Source organism: Homo sapiens, chromosome 5 (assembly GCF_000001405.40).
Source record: "Homo sapiens chromosome 5, GRCh38.p14 Primary Assembly".
Taxonomy (NCBI): Eukaryota; Metazoa; Chordata; class Mammalia; order Primates; family Hominidae; genus Homo; species Homo sapiens.
In genome coordinates, this window is record NC_000005.10 from 139,787,777 (window position 1) to 139,811,627 (window position 23,851).

General features: G+C 55.8%; 1 protein-coding gene across 4 annotated transcripts in view, besides 3 other annotated features; it reads left to right on the plus strand.

Moving 5' to 3' along the window:
* The window catches only part of PSD2 (pleckstrin and Sec7 domain containing 2), a 101,992-nt gene that overhangs the window by 45,302 nt on the left and 32,839 nt on the right, over positions 1–23,851 (plus strand). For 3 of the 4 annotated variants that reach the window (XM_047417829.1, XM_017009976.2, XM_017009977.2), the window contains one exon: positions 21,615–22,035. In XM_047417829.1, the coding sequence (XP_047273785.1) occupies positions 21,665–22,035 (371 nt within the window). In that variant the 5' untranslated portion in view covers positions 21,615–21,664. Of the gene's footprint in view, positions 1–8,031; positions 8,200–21,614; positions 22,036–23,851 lie in introns of those variants that run through there. The other variant, NM_032289.4, reaches the window with a different exon arrangement.
* Positions 332–481: a silencer, noted in NCBI's record as "silent region_16432". NCBI's record gives its function as "represses an Ori minimal core promoter by ATAC-STARR-seq in GM12878 lymphoblastoid cells {active_cell/tissue: GM12878}" and the evidence as "EXISTENCE:reporter gene assay evidence [ECO:0000049][PMID:35858748]".
* Positions 2,266–2,766: an enhancer, noted in NCBI's record as "H3K4me1 hESC enhancer chr5:139169627-139170127 (GRCh37/hg19 assembly coordinates)". NCBI's record gives its function as "activates a minimal SCP1, AML or CMV promoter by ChIP-STARR-seq in naive and primed H9 embryonic stem cells {active_cell/tissue: H9 hESC(naive and primed)}" and the evidence as "EXISTENCE:reporter gene assay evidence [ECO:0000049][PMID:30033119]".
* Positions 7,551–7,750: a silencer, noted in NCBI's record as "fragment chr5:139174912-139175111 (GRCh37/hg19 assembly coordinates)". NCBI's record gives its function as "represses an EF-1alpha promoter that drives an FKBP-Casp9 reporter gene in an ReSE screen in K562 erythroleukemia cells {active_cell/tissue: K562}" and the evidence as "EXISTENCE:reporter gene assay evidence [ECO:0000049][PMID:32094911]".

A 23,851-nucleotide genomic window follows, 5' to 3' on the forward strand; every position in this document is an offset into this window, starting at 1 on the left:
CTCTGTGGTCTCTGGCACAAGGAAGAGGGGGTCTGGGTCACCATGGGATAGTTGGGGAGCCTGTTTTCCATCCGTGTTGTGTAACGGCACGGCCTTCGGAGACAGCCTGGGCAAAGTTGAGGAAATACCCGGGTTGGAGCGGATAGGAGACTTTGAGAACGGGCGGGATCCCGACGCGCAGGCTGATTTTTGAGTGCCTGCGGCTGAACTCGGGGCGCCGCTGGGCCTGGTGCTGCGGTAGGAGGATGACCCATATGACCTGTATTCGCTTCCTTTCAGAGTGCGGGCGAGCGGGGCTGCGCTTCGCGGAAGACTCCGCGCAGTGCTGGGCACTGGGACGCGGGGAGTCTGGAAATTCTGCGTCTGGCCAGCAGAGGGAGGCGGAGAGCCCGCCCCCCCCGCGCCCCCCCCCGAACCCGTGCCCAGGCCTGGCCCGGCTCCCCCAGCCCGAGCTCCCCCTGCGGGAACCTTCCCGGCTTGGCCGCTCCTCCCTGGGCAGGACTCGACATGTCCCGTGTCCCTTCATTTTGGAAAAAGTCTTGCCCTCCTCTCCCCGCCCAGCTTCTTGGAGGAGCGCGTGGGTTAAGGGGAGGGTCAGTTTCAACCCGAACTCAACCCTAACCGCGCCGCGCGCCCCGCTCCCTGGGCCTCAGTGCGGGTGATGGCACGGACTGGCCACTCTAATTCTAGCAGCTGCGAATTCCTGGGACAGGGTGGGGTGACCTCCACTAGGGTAGAGACTGGGGGGGGCACAAGGGGCTTCTCCCCCTAACCCCCATCAACCCAGGCCTGGACGGCCAGCTGGACCTCCGGAAGCGCGGGCTGCCCACCCCATACCACCCCGGCCAGTTCCCGGGACTCTCCTGGACAGGCTCCCGGAGGCCCACAAAGGCCCTTAGATGCCGTTCTGGGCCAGGCTCTGCCGGGGCCCTGGGCCGGCGGCCGGCTGCCGGCTGGCTCTCGGCACTGCAAGTCCCTGGCACTCCTGTGGGGCTTTGTCCACCAGCCCTGGCCCCATGCTGGCCGGGCCTCGTCGCTGGGGGAGGGATTGCACAGGCAGGTCGTAGAGCTTGGGCAGTCTCCCTTTCTCCAGCCCGTGGCCTTGCTCTCCTCCAGGTGACTGGCCCCTTACCTCAGCCTTGCTGGCCCCCACAGCCAGGGCTGTCCAGTGAGCAAAGAGTGTGAGTCCTCCCCACGCTCCCTCCTGGCTAACATGGGAGTGGTGGGTCACGTTGTCCTCGTTTGCAGACCAGACCGGGGGCTCCAGGGATCTTCCCCAGGCCTCCGTGGCTCCCTGCCCCGGCTCCTGACTGCACGGTTTCCCTACTGTGGGCCTGTCAGGGTTGCGGCCCAGGCATGCGTTTGTCCCTGGCCACTCACTCTTTCATTCATTCTTCGGTTCATCACTCTTTGGATACCAACTTCATCCAGGCCCTGGGCTCAGGGAGGAGCTGGGGACTGAGAGGGAGTGTGCAGGGTCCTTGCGCTCATGGAGTGTCCAGTCCAGACAGTCACGACACAGTATGACATGTGCTGTGATAGAGGCAGACCTGCCCGGCCTGGGGGCACCTCCTCAGAGAGGCCTTCGCTGAACACCTGACTGAAGTAGCCCTACCCACCAGCCAGCTGCAGTCACACACCAGGTTTTGTTTGTTTGTGTGTTTCGAAGCCCTTCTAATATTTACAGCTGACTTCTTCCTTTATTAAGGAAGGATCGCTAGAGCCTGGGAGGTCAAGGCTGTAGTGAGCCGAGATCATGCCCCTGCATTCCAGCCTGGGTATTCCTGTCTCTAAAAGAAAAACAAAAAACAAAACAAAACAAAAACAAAAAGAAACTCACTCAACAAACTAGGAATAGTGGGCACTCATTATATGAGTGCTTCAGTAAATGCCCACTGGGTGCCAGGCACTGTTCCAGCCCCCTGGGAATCTACAAGGGAGAGAGGAAAATTCTTACCCTCATGGAGCCTATGGCCTAGTGATGGCAGCGGTGGTGGGGACACAGACCATTCCCAGAAAGGACAAGCATATGGTATATACATATGTGTTATGGAGGAAAAGAAGGCGGGGAAATGGGAGATGTGGATGAAGGAGGGGGTAGAATTTTAGTAGAGTGGTCAGAAAAGGTGACATTGGAAGAGAGCGCTGAAGGAAGTGAGGGGTGGGCGGTGCGGATACCTGGGGGAGGAGTGTTTTAGGCAGAGAGCAGCACGGGGCCGGGCGGGCGCTGAGGTGGGAGTGTCCCTGGTGCTTTGGAGGAACAGGGAGGGGACCGGTGTGTCTGCAGGAGAATGAGGTCAGAGGAGTGGTGGGGGCCAGATCTTATGGGATTTTGTGGCCTGCGTAAAGACTTGGTTTGAGTCTGGGCACGGGAGCTCGCGCCTGTAATCCCAGCACTTTGGGAGGCTGTGGCAGGAGGATCACTTGAGCCCAGGAATTCGAGACCAGGCTGGCCTTGTGGTCGTGATGTTTACGGCAAAGAGGAAGAGGAGGTCAGTGTGGGTTGGGTTAAGATGGAACTGCTCTTTGGATATCCTAGTGGCAACTTCAGGTCAGCACTTGGGTGTTGGGGTCTGACCTCAGGTGGAAAGGTCCAGGTTGGAGAATCACACACCGAGAAGCTTCAGGGTTTAGCTGGGCTTTGAAGCTGGGCTGGGGTCATCATGGGAAAGAGTGAGATGGAGAAGACCGAGGACTGAGCCCTGGGAGCTCTGGCATTGGAGGTCAGAGAGGGGCGGAGAAACTAGCAAAGGAAGATGAGAAGGTGCAGCCAGAGAGGCAGGAGGAAAAACATGACAGTGAGGAGTCCTGGAAGTCAAGGGAAGAAAGTATGTCAAGGAGGAAGCGGGGATGAACGGTGTCAGATGCTGTCAGGAAGCTAAGACCAGGCCTGTGAATGGACTTTTGGATTTAGCATTGTGGCAGTCACTGAGGACTAGGCCACAGTCTAGCACCATGTACAAACTTTAGAAAATGGTGGCCATGGCCGGGTGCTGTGGTTCATGCTTGTAATCCCAGCTCTTTGGGAGGCTGAGGTGGGTGTCCTGAGGTCAGTTGTTCAAGACCAGCCTGGCCAACATGATGAAACCCTGTCTCTACTAAAAATACAAAAAATTAGCTGGGTGTGGTGGTTGGGTGGGGGGGAGCGCCTATAATCCCAGCTACTCGGGAGACCGAAGCAGGAAAATCGCTTGAACCCAGGAGGTGGGGGGTGCAGTGAACCGAGATTGCACCATTGCACTACAGCCTGGGCAACAAAAGTGAAACTTCATCTCAAAAAAATAAAAAAAGAAAAGAAAATGGTGGCCATTCCAGGTGGACCTGGCTACACAGGCAAACAGAAGGTGGATACCTTGCTGTAAAGAAAAAGGCACTCTGCACAGTGGCTCACACCTGTAATCCTAGCACTTTGGGAAGCCAAGGCAGGAGGATCACTTGAGCCCAGGAAGTCAAGACCAGCCTGGGCAACATGGCGAAACTCCATCTCTACAAAAAATATAAAAATTAGCTGGGTATAGTGGTGCATGCCTGTAGTCCTAGCTACTGGGGAGGCTGAGATGGGAGGATCGCTTGAGCCTGGGAAGTCAAGGCTGCACTGATCTGAGATCATGCCACTGCACTCCAGCCTGGGTATTCCTGTCTCTAAAAGAAAAACAAAAAACAAAACAAAACAAAACCAAAAACAAAAAGAAACCCACTCAACAAACTAGGAATAGAAGGGAATGAACTCAACATGATAAAGGGCATTTATGAAAAACCCACAGCTAACACTGTACTCAGGTTGCAGCGAGCCATGATTGTGCCACTGCACTATGCTGGCCTGAGACCCTCTCTCAGAAAACAAAAAACAAAAAACAAAAAAAAAAGAGAAAGAAAAAGGCATCTCTTCCCCTGACAGATACAACCTTGCATCAGGACACACAGCATGGTGAAAGGAGAACAGGTTGGGTTTTAGCTACCTCTCCATCCTTCATGTAACCCAGCACCCTTGTGCAGTGCCCAGCCTGCACATCTGTACTCAGCAACTGTGTTGGTGACTTTGATGAGTGGTGTCAGTGGACTGTACAGGGAGATAAGAGCTAGACTGGAGTTCCTTTGAGAGACAGGAATTAGAGACAGCCAGCATGGACAACTTTTTCAAGGAGCTTTGCTGTAATAGGTAAAGAGAAATGGGATGGTAGCTGGGGAGTGGAGAGGAATTAGCCAAATGAGAGTGCGTGAAGGGGAAGGCATCCCAGGCAGAGAGCCTGCCTAAGCAAAGGGAGGTCACTAGAAATGGTTGAGGGGGAATGAGTGTGGGAGGGGTCCTAGGACATCAAATTTGAGGTGGGAAGTGTCAGGAGAGGGGACATAGAATAGGTGAATTGGGGCCTTCATCTTGGGGTCGTGGGGGTGCTGGGGACAGGGGCAGGTTACAACAAAGCTGTGAACACAGTAGGTGCTTATTGAGCTCTCTGGGATTGGCCTGGGGAATCCCTACCCAGGCACCCCACCTGGGCCTCAGGCTTCCAGCTGGAAGATGGGAGAATTGGGTGTTTTAGGGGTCCTCTGAGTCAAGCCTCTTCTGGGTTGGACCCAAATGAGTCCTCCCAATTGGTGGGTCCCTCTGTCCCTGCCCAAGGTGCTGACCATGCCCAATGCAGCTGGCCCCCCCTCCCCCCATAACTTTCATGCTCTCCTGGGGACCAGTCAAGGGCCAGGCGGTAAACCATGGGAAAAGGCCCCTCCATGTGCAAGGGTCTTTGGTTCAGCCTTGGCACCTGCTTCTTATGAGACCCCCTCAGGTGAGGAGGCGGGGTGGGGGAGGAAAGGGAGGTCACTTGGAGGAACAGGGAGAAGCTGCGCATTCTTCTTTCCCTTGAGGAATGGGGGAAATATCGTCTATTCTGGCTCCTGGGTAGGGGGATGTTGACCCTGCTGTCTTTCTTTCTCTTTCTTTCTTTTCTTTTCTTTCTCTCTTTCTTTTTTCTTTCTTTCTTTCTCTTTCTCCCTTCCTTCCTTCCTCCCTCCCTCCCTCTCTTTCTCTCTCTCTTTTCCTTCCTTCCCTTCCTTCCTTCCTTTCTTTCTTTTTTTCTTTCTGTCTTTCCTTCCTTCCTTCCTTCCTTCCTTCCTTCCTTCCTTCCTTCCTTCCTTCTTTCTTTCTTTTTTCTTTCTTTCTTTCTGTCTTTCTTTCTTCTTTCCTTCTTCTTTTGACTGAGTCTTGCTCTGTTGCCCAGGCTGGAATGTAGTGGCACGATCTTGGCTCACTGCAACCTCTGCATCCTGGGTTCCAGTGATTCTCTTGCCTCCGGAGTAGCTGGGATTACAGGTGTGCATCACCACACCCGGCTAATTTTTGTATTTTTAGTAGAGAGGGGGGTTTCACTGTGTTGGCCAGGCTGGTCTCGAGCTCTTGACCTCAAGTGATCCAACCCACTTTGGCCTCCCAAAGTGTTGGGATTACAGGCGTGAGCCACCATTCCCAGCCTGACCCTGCTGTCTTTCAGGAGGCGAAGGTAGCCACAAGGAACAGTAACAATACTCCCCTCTCCAGTGTCCATGGCACCCAGAACACTCACACAGAGCTCACCTGTGGCCTCCAGGCAGCCCTCTGAGCCCTAGGGAGCTAGTTCCACTTGACGGAGGGGAAAGGAAGGTTCAGGAAAGGGTACAGCTGCCCATAGCCACACAGCTAGGAAGTGTGGGTTGGGGGGACTGGACTAGAACCCGGGTCTCCTTGCCCCTGCCACAGGCTCCCAGAGCTACAAAGGACAGGGGGCAGATCCAGGGGGCAGAGACTAGGTTCTGTGTGCCAGCCCAGCGCAAGTTAGCTGGAGAGACAGCTATGTCTACCTTTCCCCTTTCCCTGTTCTTTCCTTCCACATAATTTATTAAGCCATGCTGAGTGTTAGGTGCTGAGGATACACTGTGAACCCTTTCAAGGGGCTCAGAGTCCATCCAGTGGACAACAATTAAATAGTGCATTCCATGAGTAAGTAATCATTACAGCTGGAACAGCCATGGCCCATTGAGTGCATCTGTGTGCCAGGTCTTGAGCACATCAGCTCTTTCGGTCCCCATCCTAGCCTCACAAAGAGGGGGACTGCTACCATCCTCATTGGGCAGATGAGGAAGTAGGAGCCCAGAAAGGTGGTCCAGCTGTGACTTGAGGGCATGGGTGCCAAGGGTGGGGAATGTGGTATCTAAGCCCTGCCATGAGCACTTCCCTCCACAGCCCCTGCTGGTCGCCACCCTTCTCTGCCTACAGGTAGCAGAGGGCAGGGGGGTAGAATGCAGGACAGCAGGGAAGCCAAGCTCCCTCTGTGCCCTTTAAGATCCTGGGCACCTGCACAGAGAGTGGCTCCCTTGTTTCTGGGCTCTGCGGTAATGTCCTAGGGTTTGATGGGCAGTGAAGGATGTGGTCTGAGTGCCCTCTTAATTGACCAGCTGTGCTCACAGATTCAGATCTCCTGGGATCATGAGCAAGTGACTTATGCTCTCCAAGTCTCAGTTTTCTCATCTGTAAAACGGGTTGTAGGATTGTTTTGAGAATTAAATATGACACATGAAGAGCACTTGGTAGATGCTTGGTTGTCAGAGGTGTCACCATGGTTGATGAAGTCCCAGCTCCTGCTGTTGCCCAGCTTGAAGGGAGGGAGACTACGCACAGCTCAGATTCCACACCTCCAATTACTGCCACCCTAAGAGGTCAGCAAATCCTCTTCCTGCTCCCTAAGAAGAGTCCATGTTTGTGTGTTCATGGGTGGAAAGAAGGTCAGAGAAGACTTCATGAAGGAAGGGGCATTTAAGGAGGAATTTGAGGGTTCAGTAGGAGTTCACTGAGCACAGCAGGATCAAGGCCCCACCGGGCAGAGTGTGGATCATCTGCTGAGGTCTGGAGATGGAAGCAACTGGGTGTGGTGAACCCCCCAGGGGCTGGAGTAGGGGAGAGGGGTAGAAAGTGGCCTCCAGTGGCAGGGCCTGACTCTATCCTGATTTCCCTTCTCCCAGGCACTGGGCCTGCTCCCCACGCCCTCCTTAGATCCCTGTGGGTGGGGGCCCTTTAATGCCTCTCTGAGAGGCGGACTCTTACTCTGCAGGTGCCTCACAGCCAGGAAGTTCTTAATGTCTAGCCCAGGTACAGCCAGTCAACCCTCTTCTTCAGTTAGAGTCCTGGGCTGAGGGGGGCGGCTTCAGGGCCTTGACTTGCCCTTGGGGAGACACCGTGGGACAGGTGCCTTGGGAGATGGTTTCCTCTGCCCAGGGCACCCTCTGTCTCTCTCTGTCTCCTTATATCTGCCCAGGGAGGCTTCCCCTTGACCTGGCACAGGGATGTGGATTCTTGGTTGGACCCACCCCTCACCTCCCGCCTCCCTCAGGTTCTTTCTCCTTTGTCTCTTTCTCCTCTCTCCTGCCTCCTCCCATCCCACTCTGTCCCGAGGCTCCTTCTCACCCCACAGCCCAGGTCTCCGTCCCGTCCCGTGTGACTCTAGGTCTCAGGGGCTCAGTCTCCCTCTCTGAGATTCTTCACCTTGGCCCCCCGCACTCCCTGCTCCTCCCTTGGCGGCGTCTCCCGGGGGCTGGCGTGTGTGTCGGGGGGCTGGGGGCAGGGGTCACTCCCTGAACAGACCGCGGGAGGAGGGCCAGGACCCGCCCCCTCCTTCACCTCCAGGGCCTGGCGGGTCCCGAGAGCTCAGGTTCTAGACCGGTGGGTCCTGCCTGGAGGGCGGAGGTGGTTGGGTCTGCCCGAGGGTTCGAGGACGGCAGGGGCCCAGCGTGGCTAGGAGGGGGCAGAACCCCGGGCGCTCCCCTCCCCCCCTTTCTTAAAGGGCCCGCGCGGGGCAGAGGGGGACAAGGTGGGCCGCGCTCTCCCCGGCACGCTCGGGGTCCCGGGGCGAGCGCTGCGCTGCAAGCGGACAGGGCTGGGGGCCGCGCTTCCCTCCGGGCTCCGCGCCCGCCGCTCGCGCGCCCGCAGTGCCCCCGCCCTTCCCCGCCCTTCCCGCTCCTCCCTCCTCCTCCTCCTCCAGCTCACGGCTCCGCTCCCTCCCTCCTGCCGTCCGTCCCCCTCGCTCAGCCTCTCCACATCGCGGCTCCGGCACCTGAAGGGACGCGGGCGGGCGCGGGCAGCTCCGACCGGCGGCGGCGGGGCGGGACAGGCAGCCCGGCGGCCTCCGATGGCCCCGCCGTGAGAGGCCGGACCCGCGGCGGGGACCAGCAGCGGTGAGTGGGGCCGCGGGGCTCCGGGACCCGCCCCTCCCCGCTGGCGGCCAGGCCGGGGCGGGACGGGCCGGGGAGAGGGCCGCGTGCGGGTGGGGGGCGTCGCCCTCGCCCTCGGTGCCCACCCGGGTCCGCTAACAAAGCTACATTTCCAGATCAATTCCGCGGCGTCTGGAGCATCCGAAGGATACGGTTGTCATGGAGATGGGGCCGAGAGAGGAAGCCCGGGCTGGCCGGGTCTGGGCCGGGGAGAGGGGGCGCCGCGGGAAAGCCCGAGCCCAGCCTGAGGGACGGTGGGGGCTGCCGGGCCGATTGTCTCCCGGCTCCGCCACCCACTACCCTCTCCCCGCTTTTGTATAATCTGGGGGTACGCGTGTGCGTGGGGGGTGCCAGTGGCAGCCTGGTGGTCGGGGATCGGGGCATTGGGTACCGGGGCCTGCCGGCAGCCACCTTCACGAGGCTGCAGCTTTGAGGATTTATTTCTGTTTCCAGTTTCCCAACTTTGACAGCCCTGCTTGGCGGCCAGGCCTCCCCGGCTCTGCAGCTAGAGCGGGGGCTCGCACGGGGGCGTGGCAGTCAGGGCTGAGGAGGCACATAATGGCCGAGGCGGCAGCGGGAGGGAGGGGTCCCAGGAGCGGGCTGCTGGGGCTGGGTGCAGAGGGAGTCCAGACTGGGGACAACCCTGCCCAGCGGGCCCCCTCGGAGGAGGAGGTATTCAGCTGTTCCTAGAGGATGCAGGGACTCCCCGGAATGATCACTGGGGGCATTGTTTTTGCATAGGCCCAGGGGGCCACTGTCTCAAGCCCACCCCTTTGTCTTGGGGCCATCTTGGGGGGGCCAGGAAGAGAACAGGGAGCAGAAGCAGCAGTCACAATGGAAGAGGGCCTAAGACTCCTGGCAGCCTGGGGATAAGCCAGGCTGAATTTGATGGGGATCAGCGAGAGGGCTCAGGATTTGGCCAGGGCAGGTGGGCAGCCTGGGTTTGGACTTTCCTGGGTTCCCCAGTTCCTTTTTCTAGATCCTACAAACAAGAGCTGCTTAATAGTGGTTGGGGGTGGGGGGGTTCACTGGGCTGGGACTGCCTCCAAACCCAACCCGTGGCCCAGGGCAGTTGCAGTCGTTCTTTCATTCTTCCACCCTCTCCCCAGGACTTTAGGAACCTGTCTCCCAGGGAAGCTACAAGTTCTGGGGCCTGGGATCTCCGAATCAGTAAAATGTGCCTGCTGTCCTCCCAGCAGCCCCTTTCCCCAATATATGCGGGAAGCAGGGAACAGGGGCTTTTGAGTGGGGCTACTGCAAAGTTTGGTCCTGGTGGAAACATAGCAGGTCCCTAGGGTTTGGCCAGAGCCCCCAAAAGATTCCCACGCAGTGGGGTGAGTAGGTGGGTGTGGCCCAGCTAAAGGAGGATGACTGGGTTGTCCTTGGAAGGCCTCCCTCACTGGTGCCTCTTGCAAGGTTGAAGTCTCAATGCTTGGGTGAATTGCACCCTGCAGCCCAGGGATGCCCCCAGAGGCCTCCCCGCTGCAGCTTGTCCTGGTCTGACAACTATGGGGTGCACGCTCCACAAGCAGACCTGACAAATAGTGCCTCCCAGGGTCTTCCCTGAAGGGAGAGAGCAAAGATAGCTGGAAGGAATGACTTCCTGCTCTAGACAGGACTGAGAGAGAGAGTGTGGCTGGGGGGTATTACCTCACCTAGCTTCCACATATGGAGCATATGTGCTAAGTACCCTCATAACAGTCTTTAGAGGGAGGCACTACCCTTATTCCCATTTTGTGGTAGAGCTGTTTGTTCAAAGTCTCCTGGTTAGTAAGTGGCAGAGTGAGGATTTGCACTTGGCCAGAACTGTCTGATACTCAGACCTGTGTCCCCATCCTCTCCTCTTCTTCCCTGGAGACACAATTTAGGAGAGAGGTGGGAGGTGGGATAGAGTGTCTCTCCATCTGGGCAAGAGGGTGACCTTGGGAAAAACAAGCACTAAGCTGTAGTTTCCTAGGGAGGTGGGATCAAGGCATTCCCATTCCGGACGTTGGCTTGCAGGAGATCAACACTGCCTCTCACAACAGACGATGCTCTAGACCTCCTTTGCCAGATGGTCTTTTCCAGGAAAATCTGTTTTGAGCGGCATCTTATGTCTGAGGCTCCGTATTTAGACTGGCTCTCCAAACAGGAGGATACACTTAGGCTGTCGCCCCTTGAGGGGTGTTTGGGGGAGTTGGGTGGGCTTGGGGCCAGACCTGGCTCCTTGCCACAGCTCAATGGAGGGGGAGGGGCCCATGTTCCTGCCCTGGTCTCCCTGGGACCAGCTTGTTTTCCTTGTCCCTCTAAGCCGGCTTGCCCACAGGTGAGTCCGTTTCCTCAGGGTCTGGCCCCCTTTTCAGGTGGTAAGCCACTCCAGCGCTGTGCCTGCCTGGCCTGGGCTGGCCTGTGGGCTGGCCCACAGCTCTGCATGCTCAGGTTTGTGGACTGCCCTGGGGAAGGAATGTCCTCTCCTCTGACTCCTGCCCCAAAATTCCAACCCCTGAGCTCCCCTCTTTGGAACGTCTCCCTCCACTCCCTTCCTTCTCCCACCTTACTTTTTATCTTGTCAAAGCTGATAGTATAGTGAACACCCACCTACATACCCTTCACCTAGAGACCTAGATTTGCCAGTTGTTAACATTTTGCCACATTTGTTTCTCTCTCTCTCTCTTTCTCTCTCTCTCTCAATCTTTTGAAAGTAAGTTGCCAACATTATAACACTTCACCTCTAAATACTTCAGCATGAATTTCCTGAGACAGGGACATTTTTCTACAAAAATAATGCATTGTTATCATACCCAAGAAGTTTAGTAATCATCCAGTTTAACCTAACATGTAGTCCATATTTAAATTTCTCTAGTTGTCTCAGTAAAGTCCTTTATAGCTGTTTTTTTTAATTTGATCATGGAACATACATTGCATTTAGTTATTATGGCTCTTTAGTGTTTCAATCTGGATGAATCCCTGGCTTTTTTGAGATTTTTTTTAATGACATTGTCAATTTGGAAGGCTTGTGATACGTCTCACATCCTGGATTTGTCTTCTTGCTTGCTTGTGATTAGAGTCAAGTTAACCATTTTGGGGCAAGAATATCTCATAGATGATGTCATGTCCTTCTCAGTGCATGATATTGGCAGGCACCTGTTATTAGTTTGTCCTGTAGTAGGTGGTGGTAAGTTAGGTCACTTGGCTCAGGGGTCCCTGTATTTCAATTCTGTTCCTCCCCCTTCCCTACCTCCAGAAGCTTCATCTACCTGGTAATCTGCGCACCAGGTCAGCAAATCTGACTGAACCCCTACATCAGACCAGATGCTGGAGAATAGAGAAGCAGACAGAAACTTTCAGGGAGCTCAAAACTTCAGGGTTGGGAGTGGGGGAGCCACAACTCAGACAGGTGCTGTTGGTGGGGGAGAGGGGAAGCCCAGAGAAAGTAGTGAGAGGCACAGCAAGGGGAGAGGGCATGGGGGCCAGACAGGAAGGGAGGCCCAGGCCACAGCTAGCCTGGAATGTGGGCTGAGGGGTTGGCCTTTTCCCCAAGGGCACTTCAAAACCACTGAAGGGTTTTGAAGAGGGGATGATGAGGCAGTTTGGAGTGTTGGAAAGGCACTCTGAGGAGGATGGAGTGGGGCTGACTGGGCCAGCACATGGGAAAGAGACCAGCCAGGAGGCTGTGGCAGCACCCAGCACAAGACAGGGGGGACAGCATTGGGGCTGCTGCTTGTGGCATATAGAGAGAGTGGAGTTGTGTGGTTTGGGGGCCCTGCTGGGAGGGTGTTGCTGGGGGGTATCGGAGAAGGGGATGGAGCTGGGAGAGATTTAGGAAGCAGAACGGACAGGCCCTTGTGTCTGACTAGAGATAGGGAGAGTGGGAAGGATGAGCTTGTGCAATGGCTTGGGAAGGGAGATGGAGGTTTTGAGTGTATGAGGTCTGAGGTGTTTTCCAGGCCAGAGGAATGGTGTGTGGGAAGCTCATTTGGTGGCCCCAACTGTGGCCCCCTTGCAGAAGCTCATTTTGAGATGCAGGCAGAAAGAAGAGCCACACATAGCCCACTGCAGGGGATGGATGGTGGGCTTCAGGCACCAGCAGGGGAGGGCCCTGAGCAGGGCTAGGCCAGCTCAGATGGCAGCTGCCCCTGTGGAAGCCAGGATAATCCTGCCACTAACTTGCAGACCCCAATTCCCTTACCTCATTTTGCTTCTTCACACTTTCTTGGCAAAACCCCAACCCTGGTTAAATCCAATGCCTGGCCTACCCCACTCCTGCACATGCAGCTGAATGGGGCTGAGCAAAACAACTGCCCTGACTGTTCTCACTTTCAGTCCAAGCCCATGAACTCTGAACTTCAGGTGGGTCCTTAGTGCAGTCCACCAGGCACAGCACAGGTTCTGAAGTTGTCGCCTCTCCCACATGCTAGATGATTCTTTCACACTTGCTCTTTGTGTGTGTGTGTAGAGATGGGGTCTCACTATGTTGCCAGAGCTGGTCTTGAACTCCTGACCTCAAGTGATCCGCCCTCCTCGGCTGCCCTCCTTGGCTTCCCAAAGTGCTGGGATTATGGGCATAAGCCCCTGTGCCCGGCCCTCACTTGCTCTTCTACCCTCACCCTCCGGCCTCTCCCACCCTTCCTTTCAGCGGATAATCTTTGAGAAAATATAAGCAGTCAGAGCGTCCTGAGGCTCCCAGTGCCACACTCACTGTCTGCCAGCGTCTGCACTCACTGCTCTGCTTTCTTCTGTATCTGTGGGTGAAGTGTTCCTGCTCCTGGTTAAGGCCACCCCTCCACTTTTGCAGAGATCCTGGCCTCTTGTGTCTGCTTGAGAACATCACTCCAGCAGGGCCCCCGCCTGCATCATTGGGTCCCCCTCTCTGCTAGAGCATCCCATGAACAGATATCTTGCTGTTATTTCTTTTATCTTAAAAATGGTTCTGGCTGGGCACGGCGGCTCACACCTGAAATCCCATCACTTTGGGAGGCTGAGATAGGTGGATCACCTGAGGTCAGGAGTTCAAGACCAGCCTGGCCAACATGACGAAATTCCGTCTCTACTAAAAATACAAAAATTAACCAGGCATGGTGGTGGGCACTTGTACTCCCAGGTACTCGGGAGGCTGAGGCAGGAGAATTGCTTGAACCTAGGAGGCAGAGGTTGCAGTGAGCTGAGATTGCGCCACTGCACTCCAGCCTGGATGACAGAGAGAGACTCCATCTCAAAAAAAAAAAAAAAGATCTCTCCTTCCCTTAGCAGAGAAACTTCTGGAAGGGTTGTCTAGACTCATTGTCTCCACATCCTCTCCTCCTGCTCTCTCTTGACTCTACTCTTATGGGGCTCCACTCCGCTGACCTCTCCTCTCAAGGTCATCAGTAATGTTCCTGTCGCTGCACCCAGTGGTCAATTCTCAGTCTTATTGGCAGCATTTGACACATCCAGTCTTCCTCTTCCTTGAAATACCTTCCTTGGCTTCCAGGACACCCATTCTTCTGTTTTCCTCCTACCTTGTGGGTTGCTCCTTCTCAGCCTCCTTTGCTGGTTCCTCTTCTCCCCCTCCCACCTCTTGATATCAGGGTGCCCCAGCACTTGCCCTGCACAGGCTCTCTCCCCCATCTCCACTCCTCCATACAGATCCCATCCAGTCTTGTGGCTTTAAGTATCACCTATGTACTGCCAGCCCCCAAATTTAAATCCCAAGTCTCAACCTCTCACCCGACTCCAGTAGCCTACACAGCATCTCAACTTTCATCTCAACTTTCCTGTCTGTCAGACAACCCCCCTCAACTTGCCCTGATCTTCCTCCCCAAACCTGCTCCACCCAGTTTCTCTTCTTGAGCGGCAACTCCATCCTTCTAGTTGTTCAGGGCACAAATGTTGGCGTCACTCTTGGGTCCCCTCTCTCTCTCCTGCCCCATGTACAGCACATGGATGGGTGGGTGAGGCTTTAGAGTGCCTGACTTCCCTTCAGCGGGCCATGGGCAAGAGAGGAGGTGACAGTGAAATGGCCCAGCACAGCCCCTTTCACACCTGCTTACTTCGTACCACATGCTGTTGTATTTTCATCAAGGAGGCCACAACCTGCAGACCCTGAGCCGAAGTCCTAAAGAGGAGACAAGACTGGACAGGGAAGAGGAGGGAGAGGAAGGGAGGACTCGCCTGGGGAGAGATGAAGAGACGCTACATAACACAGAGATTGGGGAGGGGGTGGGGAGGAAGGCCACAGTTGGGGAGGCAGAGAAGGAGAGGAGTTGGGGGGCCTGGACAGAGAATGTGAGGACTTAGAGGGTTTGGGGTGTGTGAAAACTGGGCAGACAGAAGGGAGGAGGAAGCTTCTTGGTTTCTGTCTCTTGGCTGTTGAAGCAGACTGTGGGGAGCTACTCAGAGGTGGAGCTCTCTCAGGTCTGCCTCTGCCCAGGTGTTGTATCCGAGGCTGGGCTGGTTGGGAGGATTTGCACTTGGTCAGTCCATTGTAGCTCTCAGGATTCAACTCTCAACCCACAGGCTCATGTTAGCCTGTGGGCTCCATGAGCCTGTGGGTTGAAGCAGTGTGAGTCCAGTGCCCTCCGAAGTTGGAGGAAGGTGGCCCAGTGGTCAGTCTGGCTGTGAACTCTCTTGACCAAGACAGCTTAGTCCTTTGTGGTTCCTGATAACTGAGGGTTCACCCCGTAGGGAAGTCAGTTGGGCATAGAGTCACCAGCTGTAAACATGATTTGAAATTTGACAGCAGACTTTGTGGATTTCATTAGTGTTAAGGGCTCTTCAACCAGCATGCAGATGTACGCAAATGCTAAGCAAATGAGGGTGCCAATTGGCTGGGGGGTTGGGGAGAGAAGCAAGCTGGGAGATGTCTAGGAATGACCTTTGTGGAGCAAGCTCCAAGGGCCCCTGAGAATCCCAGCAGAGCACATGCAGGATAAGATGCAAATGTGCATGCAGCCCCGGGGACTTCTGCCTGCCTGACCATGAGAACATGAGCCCAAGGCAAGGGCTGGTTCCCTGATGGCCACACTGAGAGAAGGAAAGCAGGTGGGGGCTGGTTATCACTCCAAACAGGCATTACCTGAAAGGGATGGGCATCTTTAAAGAGGGCGTAGGTTCTTGGCCCTTGCCCTACACTTGTGTGCCCTGAGATGGAAAGATAGGAGTGAGCCTGGCCTTGGGTGAGGGTGTTGGGAGGGCAGGACAGTAGGGACCTCAGCTGCCTTGGGAAAGGGAGGGGATGCCCTCTCTGGCCCCCCTCCTGGCCCCACGGGAGTCTTTGATTTGCCTCTACCCTCTAGCTGGGCTTCTGAAGCCCCTGCCTCAGAACTTGCTCTGACAGCTGCCAAGGACGCATATCCAATGGGTGCTGGCTGAGTGGCCTGTGCTGTGTGCTGCTGTCCTGGGCATGGCACCCCTGGGGGTAGCCAGCTTGGTTCCTTGCAGCCCCCAGAAGGTTTTGGGAGGCAGCAGCCCTCCCTTGAGCACTGAACACATGCCATCTCCTTTAGTCCTCACAGGTGCCTTGAGAAGACAAATGCTCTTGGCACCCCCCATTTATGGAGGAGGACACCGAGCTCAGATAGACAGGCAGTTTTCCTGAAGTCACACAGCTTGTGGCTAGCAGAGCTTGGATTTGGAGCCAGGTCTTTCTGAGCACACAGGAAAGGGCACTGACCCACTCTCCCGGACTGTCCCAGTCTGAGGCCCTTGCAGCACAAGGCGGTCCAAGCTGGGAAGACCAAGTGGGTTAAGAGGGTTTAGGGTCACTTTGGGATGTGGAATCCGGGAAGTTCCCTAGGCTCCTGGGTGGGCGTCCCTTCCAAATTATCCTGGGCATCTCCCTGGGCAGTTGGGATGTGGAGGAGGCTGGCCTGGGCTTAGGGAGGGGGCCTGGAGCTCTTGGAGGTGGGAAGATCCTTAACTCCAGGCCCCTTGGTTGGCAGAGGCTACAAGGGAGCATGGTTAGGGGGGCCCAACTGAGGGCTTCCTGGCAGCACCCTACTGCCCATGCTGCCAGTGGCCTAGCAGGTCCTGTGGAGCCCTGGAGCACTCCAGGCCTGGCCATCCTAGGCCCCATTGCGGTGTGGGCATCGCTGTTCAGGGTCTGTTTTGACACTCCCTACATGCCACATGTTTGCATTGATCATCTCTTTTAAGTGTCTGTGTGTGTCTTGTGTGTTCATGTGTGTTCACATGTGTTTGTGTGTCTGAAGATCCTAGCCCATGTGCTAAAATCTGGGTGATCTAGGGAATCTTGGGTTGGGATTTTGGGGAAGAGTAGTGAACCAGTGGGGGTGTTCAGGGTGGGTTTCCAGGGGGCAGAGAATAGGTCCAAGAAAGATTTCTTTGCCAAGTAACCCTCATGGAGCTCTCTCCAAGTATCCAATGTTGGTTGGCAGGTCCTTGGAGACTGTCCAGATTAGGGTATGGAATCAAGGATGGATAGAGGGCTTTGAGCCTTTCCAGATATACTCTAAATGTTGCACACATTTGTGAGATTTCCAGGGCAGGATCTTCCATCAAGTGCACAAAGAGGTCCAGGACTTGGAACTGGTTAGGTATCAATGGTGCACGTGGGGACATGAGGTCAGAGAGGGGTTTTTTTGTGCCCAACTTCCCCTAGCCCACTGGAAGCAAAACGTGAGGGTCCTGGTGCTCCTAGATTTGCTTCCCTGGGTCAGCTGTGGTCTCAGCCTTGCCACCACACTGACATTCCAGAACAATTTTCTCTGATCCCAGTCCCTTCTGCATACCCAGGATGGTTTTGACCCTGGATGCCCGATGATGTAGATCTCGCTGCCCTTAACCTTGCCCATAGGCCTGCCAGTGCCTTGTCCACCTTACCAGGCAAATTAGGGGGATTGCCTCATGAGCGGCTGCCCAGTTCCCTCTGTGTGTGTGCGTGTGTGTGTGTCTGTGTGCATGTGTGTGTGCGTGCGTGTGTGCATGTCTGTGAACGTGTGTGTGCATGTGTCTGCACGTGTGCGTGTGTATGTGTGCGTGTGTGCGTGCGTGTGTGCATGTGTGTGTCTCTGTGTGTGTGTGAGTGTGTGCGTGTGTGTGTATTGTGCATGTGTGTGCGCATGTGTGTGTGCACGTGCGCGTGTGTCTGGGCATGTGTACATGTGTGCATGTGCCTACCCATACCTGTATTGTATGTCTGCTGTCAGGTCCTGCACCCATGCACTTGCCCCTGTGTCTTATAGAGCATGCTGGCCTCTGGAGCCCTCCCTGGTGGGCCCCACCTCCAGCCCTGCCCTTGGGTTTCCCACAGTCCCTGGCTTGGATCCCACCATAAAAGGGACCGTAAGATTATTTCTTTGACAATCTAGCATTCCATCAGAATCTCAGCCTTGCTGCTTTCCAGCTTTGTGACTCCGAGCAGTTCCTCAATCTCTCTTAGCCTCTGCCACAAATAGGCATGATGATAATCCCTGTTATTCATCTAACAAATACTTCTAAAGGCCTGCTGTGTGCCAAGCATTGCACTGGACTCTGGGGACACAGCCGTGAACATGACATAGTCCCCACCCTCACTGAACTTACATCCTAGTACAGAGATAGGCAGGGAATCAGTAAACACATAGAAAAGGGAGCTTCAGTTCTACTGAGTGCTATGGTGCTCCATCACTCCATGATGCAGTGCCAGGGGTCAGAGAGGGCCTTTCTCAGGAGGCAGTGTTGGAGTTGAGCCCTGAGTGGCAGAAGAAGCTCTTTTAAAGATCTAGGGAAAGAGCATTCTAGGCCACGGGTATAGCTGGTGCAAAGGCCCTGAGGTGGGAATGAACTCAGGGAGCGGAAAGAAGGCCACTGTGGCTGATGTGGGAGAGCATGGGGACATGGGGTAGAGGGCAGCAGAACCAGCTCCTGCAGGACCTTTTCAGGCCATGCTGGGGAGACTGGATTCTAATCTAGGGGAGATGGTTAGAGGATTATGAGGAGGGAGGAAGGATTGTGCTTTTGCAACTCCCTCCAGCTGCCACAGGGAGAGTGAGGAGGGGGACAGAGTTGCTCAGGAGAGCTGAGACCCAGGAAGTGCTTGACTCTGCACTCAGCCCTGGCAGTTGGCTGAGCCAGGGTTCCACTATCATTATAGGACCTACCTTAGCTGGTGTTGAAAAGAGGCTGCCGAGCCCAAGGTCATTCCAAGGGCTGAGGCTAGTGGGAGACCCTGCCTGGAGAGGGGCTTGGATCAGGCCAAGAGAGGCTGCAGGGGATCTTGGCCAATGCCAGCCTGTCATTTGCAGGCGTCTCCTTGGGATGGGTGCCCAGTGGCCCAGCTGCACCCGCTCCCCTGCTCTTGCCAGCAGGGCTGGAGGTGGGAAGGGCCACTGCTTTGGGCCAACTCTCTTGGTTGAGGGTTTGGGCCCTTGATCTCCTGGGAGAGTTTGGCAGGGGTCCTGGGAAACTGGGGGCTCATTCTGCGTCTCCAGCCCATCTAGCTGCAGAGGGAGGCTACTCCTGGGTTCTAGAGACAGCTACGCTGTGGGGCCTCAGGCAAAGCCTTTCTGGGTTCTGTGCCTCAGCCTTCCTCATTTGTCAAATATGGCGGTAGAAAGGGTGGAGCACAGCTGCCTTTCATCCTTAACCTTGCAGGGAGTTTGCCCTTCCTTGGACCTTAGCTCTCTCAGCTTTCATGACGTTTAGTTTCCCACTGGCCCTGGGGGAGAACAGAGGTGATGCTCCCACTCTGTAGATGGGCTCACAAAGGCAAGAGGGAGCAATGATGAGTCCCAGGACACATAGCAGTTCAGAGTGAGCATGTGGGGCATCGTTTTACACCTCTACCCTAAAGCCTCCCCTTTATGCAGCCCTTGCTTGGGCTCAGCAAGAGAGGGGGTTCTGGCTCAGCTACTTCTGGGCTCAGCTGGTCTGCAGCCCAGGCAGGGACTCTGGGCCCCCCGCCCAGAGTAGAACTCAATGCTGCCCCTTGTCTGCCCACCCCCAGAAACAAAGGATGTGGCCCAGTGCCTGGTGTTGGCAGGCTCCCGCTCCCAGCTAAAGGAGGACATAGCAGGGCAGGTAGGGCTGGAGCTAGCCTGAGGCAGCTGCTGGAACTTGGGGGTAGGGCGGAGGGGCTCCCAAGAGGTCCTCAATCTGTCCACAATTCTAGCTTTGGTGCTGGTGTAGGCTGAGCATCAAGTGAAGCTGCTGATACTCTTAAACCTCAGGTTTCATGAAGGCTTAGGCAGAGCCCTGACTCAAAATGGTGGGCTCAGCCCCTAGGTATGTGTAGGGGAGCTTGAGTCATCCTGGTGAAATCGGGTTGAAACCCTGTGCCCCAGAGCCAATGCTCATCCAGGCCCCTGGGCTAGAAAGCAGGTCAGAGGACTGGAACTCAGGCAGCAGGCCAAAAGCCCCCACTTCTTTTTCCTTTCTAAATGCCCCCCCTCCCCCCGCTCAGGAGTCTCAGTTGAGAAAGTGACTTCTTGTTTCTCCTCCTCTGAGTATACAACCAGAGGGAACCGATTGAAATAGCAACTACAGCAGCAGGGATTTAGGGCAGACCAGAAAGAATTCCTCACTCAGTGCTCAACCTCTAGAGGTCTCCGATGTCCTAGGATCAGGGCCCAGATATTTTAGAGCCTGGCTTTTGAGATGTTTAAGTCTGTGGGCTTTTTTTTTAAAGTAAAAGTCTCCCTTATGAAGTTATCAAAATTCTAGGAGGTGAGGGTCAGTGTAAACGGGCGGCGTCCCAGGTCTGCTGTTCTACTCTCCTCTTTTCCACTCCATGTTTGAAAACCCAGGTTAAATAATCTTAACTGGACAGTGGTGGTTGAGCTTCCCTCAAGGGCCCAGAATTCCTGAGAAGTGGACCCGCCTCCCTCCCCAGGCTCTTGTTCTCTAAGTGAGACTTTTCTTCTGGAGCCTACCCCAGTGTTCCCACACTTGCCTCGTTATAAGAATCACAGAGGAGCATACCCCTTCCCTGTAGCTTCTGGTTCGGGAGGTCTGGGGTAGGGCCTGGTAATCTGCATTGTACCAAGTCCCTCAGGTGGTGTTTATGACCAGGCAAGTATAGGAAGTTTGAGCCTCACTTATATCCCTGTTGTTGCCCCTGCAGCTCATTCTGCTGTAGCCTAGAAGGGCAGCCAGTGCCTCTCTTGAACCCCCAGCATCCCTCTCCAGAGCAGAGTGGTAGCCAAGGCCCAACAAGGGGAGGAAGGAAGTGGCCCAGCCAGAACTGGGAGAAATGGCCCAGATTCCTGTTTCTGTCCAGGGCATTTGGAGGGGCTGATCTGTGTCCCCACTGGCAGAGGCCACTTGCGGAGGGGGTTAGCCTAGCCTAGGTGGGGCCAGGGGCAGACAGGGGAGGAGGGGAGAGCCAGAACACAGCCTGTTACACATTACATCTGCCCTCTACATCTGGGATTAGGTTGGGCAGGAAGCCTCTGGGAAATGTGGGCTGGTCCCAACCCATTTGAAACAGTGGCGGTGAAGATGATGGGTAAATGGGTCTCCTCATTTTACAGAAGAGAAACAGACCCAGAGGGGAGTGGGGCTGGCCTGGGCAGGCCAGTGAGGAGGCCTGACCTGGACTCACACGAGGTCATGCAGGGAGTTGGGCAGAGCAGGGCCTGACTCCCCTTCCAGTGCTCTCCCCAGAGTGCCCCTTGGCGGCCTCCTCATGAGTCCCTCCTCGCAGCTGGGTGAGCTCTGATGGGGGCCCGGGAGTGGAGGGGAACCCCAGGCCTCCTCCTTCCTCCCAGACAGCTGGGGCTCTGGGCGCTGTGTGTGGTGGAGGCAGCCCGGGCTCTCTGAGAGGCTCCCGGGTGGCACCGCCCACCCAGCACCCTGGACAGCGCCCCACGCTGGGCTATCCCTGTCTGTCTCCAGGCTTCACTTTGGCTTCTGGGGTGGGCCCTGCTCCAATTAGGCTGCGTCTGTTGACTTCCTTGCCTCCTCTCTTAACTCCTCCTTGAAGATAGCCTCCCAGCCTAGTTATCTCCATTAATCACAAAGGTAAGTTTCGCTCATCTTTGGCTCCTGGAGCCAGGGTAAGAACACGGGAAGAGGCTAGGGGACCGGCTGCTGACAGCCTGTGGTTTGTCACCATCACTCACCAGCGGGAATGGGAGGGGGCCCTACTGGACCCTTCTCCACTTCCTCCCCACCTGGATCTTCCTCAGAGGGCTTTGGTGAACTCTGGCGGGCACAGCAGAGACACAAGAGGTAACACGAAGGGCAGGGACTGGGGCATAGTGGGCTGGCCAGGGTCAAGGGTGAGGTGAGGTGGCTGCTTGGGCAGGCAGTGAGGGCAGCATGGCCCGAACCCACACTCCAGCTGGAAGGGCCCCGAGGAGGTCATCTTGGCCATCTCCCACTCTCAGGCAGGCTGCTCTGCCACTGGTTCTGCTGGACTTTAGGTGCCCCCCAGCCCCAGTCCTGTCTGACCAGTTCTTCCTCTCTCCACCCACTGCCAGGTCTAGAGGAGTCCCAGGAGCAGCCAGGACAGGCGGAAGCAGTGGCTGCCATGGAGGAGGACAAGCTCTTATCTGCAGTGCCTGAGGAAGGCGATGCCACCCGTGACCCCGGTCCAGAGCCTGAAGAGGAGCCAGGGGTCCGGAATGGGATGGCCAGTGAGGGCCTGAACAGCAGCCTCTGCAGCCCAGGGCACGAGCGAAGGGGCACCCCAGCGGACACTGAGGAACCCACGAAGGACCCAGATGTGGCCTTCCATGGCCTCAGCCTTGGCCTCTCTCTCACCAATGGCCTAGCCCTGGGGCCAGACTTGAACATTCTGGAAGATTCAGCGGAGTCCAGGCCCTGGAGGGCTGGCGTGCTGGCAGAGGGGGACAATGCTTCCAGGAGCCTCTACCCAGATGCTGAGGACCCTCAGCTGGGGTGAGTGGATGTCTTGGGATGGGAGCTCACCACATTTGGCTGTTCTGTTGTTGTGTGGCCTGGGCTTAGCCACTTAGTTTCTCCGGTTCTTGTTTTTCTCACACATAAAATGGGGATTTCATATCCCTCTTTTGCCCAGATTCTGGGTGTTTTGAAAGGACAGAGCCTTGACGGAGAATTCAAAGGCCAGCAGATTGGGGGGCTGAAAGTTGTGCCATCGTGAGCTGCTTCTATGTGGATTGCAGGGGGTGGGGGGTGCTGCCCTCCCTCCATCCCAAGCTGGGCATTCGATTTCCAAGTCCTTTTAAAATGCCCAATGTGAAAATTCATGTGGTTCATTTCTCTGCTTCCTGGAAATGAGACTCTCCCAAATCCTTCAACTGACTCCAGGAAAGCCGGCTTTAGGCTTTAATCCCTCCTAGCTACTCTCACCTGCAGTAATCGTCAGGAAGTTCTACCAGGGATCTCACTTCAGTCCTGCTTACTGGAGTTACAGCCCAATTTCTGTTGTCCTCAGCAGGCAATGGAGAGACCTGGAGTTTTGGGGGTGTGTTGGACAAGCAGGGCAGGGAAGGGACAGAGAAATGTCTAGAAGGCACCAGGGTGGACTGAGAAAAGAAAGCATTTAGAAGTCTTAGTGTGCATAGCTGCAGGCTCTGGCCTGAAAGGGCAGTGTACGGGTAGTGTGTGAGTGTGCGTGGGGGCATGAGTGTGTGCCTGCCCTGCATGTCATGTGTACACACGGATGTGTGAACGTGTTGGTATGCATGGGGTTGGTGGCTGTGGGTGGGGGGTGTTGGTGCCCCTGGCCTGGGCATTTGTGGCTGCACATTTGGGCACATGTTCGTGTTATGTAGGGATAAGTGTCTCTAAGTCTCCATGGGCAGGAGTATGTGAGTATGTGTCTGTGGCACTGGGTGTGCCATGGCCCTAAGAGTGTTTCCATCCAGGCAGGGCCTAGGGCAGCCCCATAGCTGGCAGTGGGGAAGGGGCAGGGGACTGGGGCTTCTTAGAGCACACCGTATTGAGGTGGCATCTTTACTTGGGATGGCGAGGCTGGGGGCAGTTGGAGGCTTGCAGATTGGACTGATGGTCTTCAAGCTCCCATCAGGGCCACCCCTCAGCCTTGCTCAGTTGCATGAGGGGGTGGGAGATGGGGGGTCCATTGGTGGCTCTGACCCTGGGCTGAGAGCTCCCCACAAGCAGGGCTCTGTCTTGTTTGGATGTCTCTAGTGCCCAGCACAGGCCTGGCAGAGGTGTCTTTACTGGGCTGACTTTGGGTATTTGCCCTGGTGGCCAGGGCAACGAACCTTCTTTCCTCTCCTTTCCTTCCAGAGGTCAGTAGAGGAAACTTCCACCCCAGCCCCTGCCAGGCATTCTGTGCCTTTTAGATTTCTGTCCCCCTCCCCACTTTGTTCCTTGGCAAGAGAGAGCCTAATGAGGCTGCAGTCTCAGGTCCTGCTGGGGCTGGAGTGGGAGTGCCTTCTCCAGGAAGCACACTGGGACAGAATCTTAGGCACTGGGGGGCCAAGGAGATGTTCGAGGGGAAGGGGCACTTCCCAGTCCTCCAAATACAACTCAGTCTCTGCTAGGCAGCAGGGGCTGGGGGAACGTAGGGTGGGGCCAGAGCCTCAGGGGAGGCTGATGCAGAGGGAGGGGAGTGCTTCTTTGCACATCATGGGCCTCAGCTGATCTGAAATGGGCTGGGCTCAGCCTGCTGTGTTCTTTCCTTGTGTCTCTTCCTGTTGCTGGCTCTATCTTCCATCTCTATCCTTGTCTGTCTAGCTCTTTTTTTTTATTTGAGACGGAGTCTTAC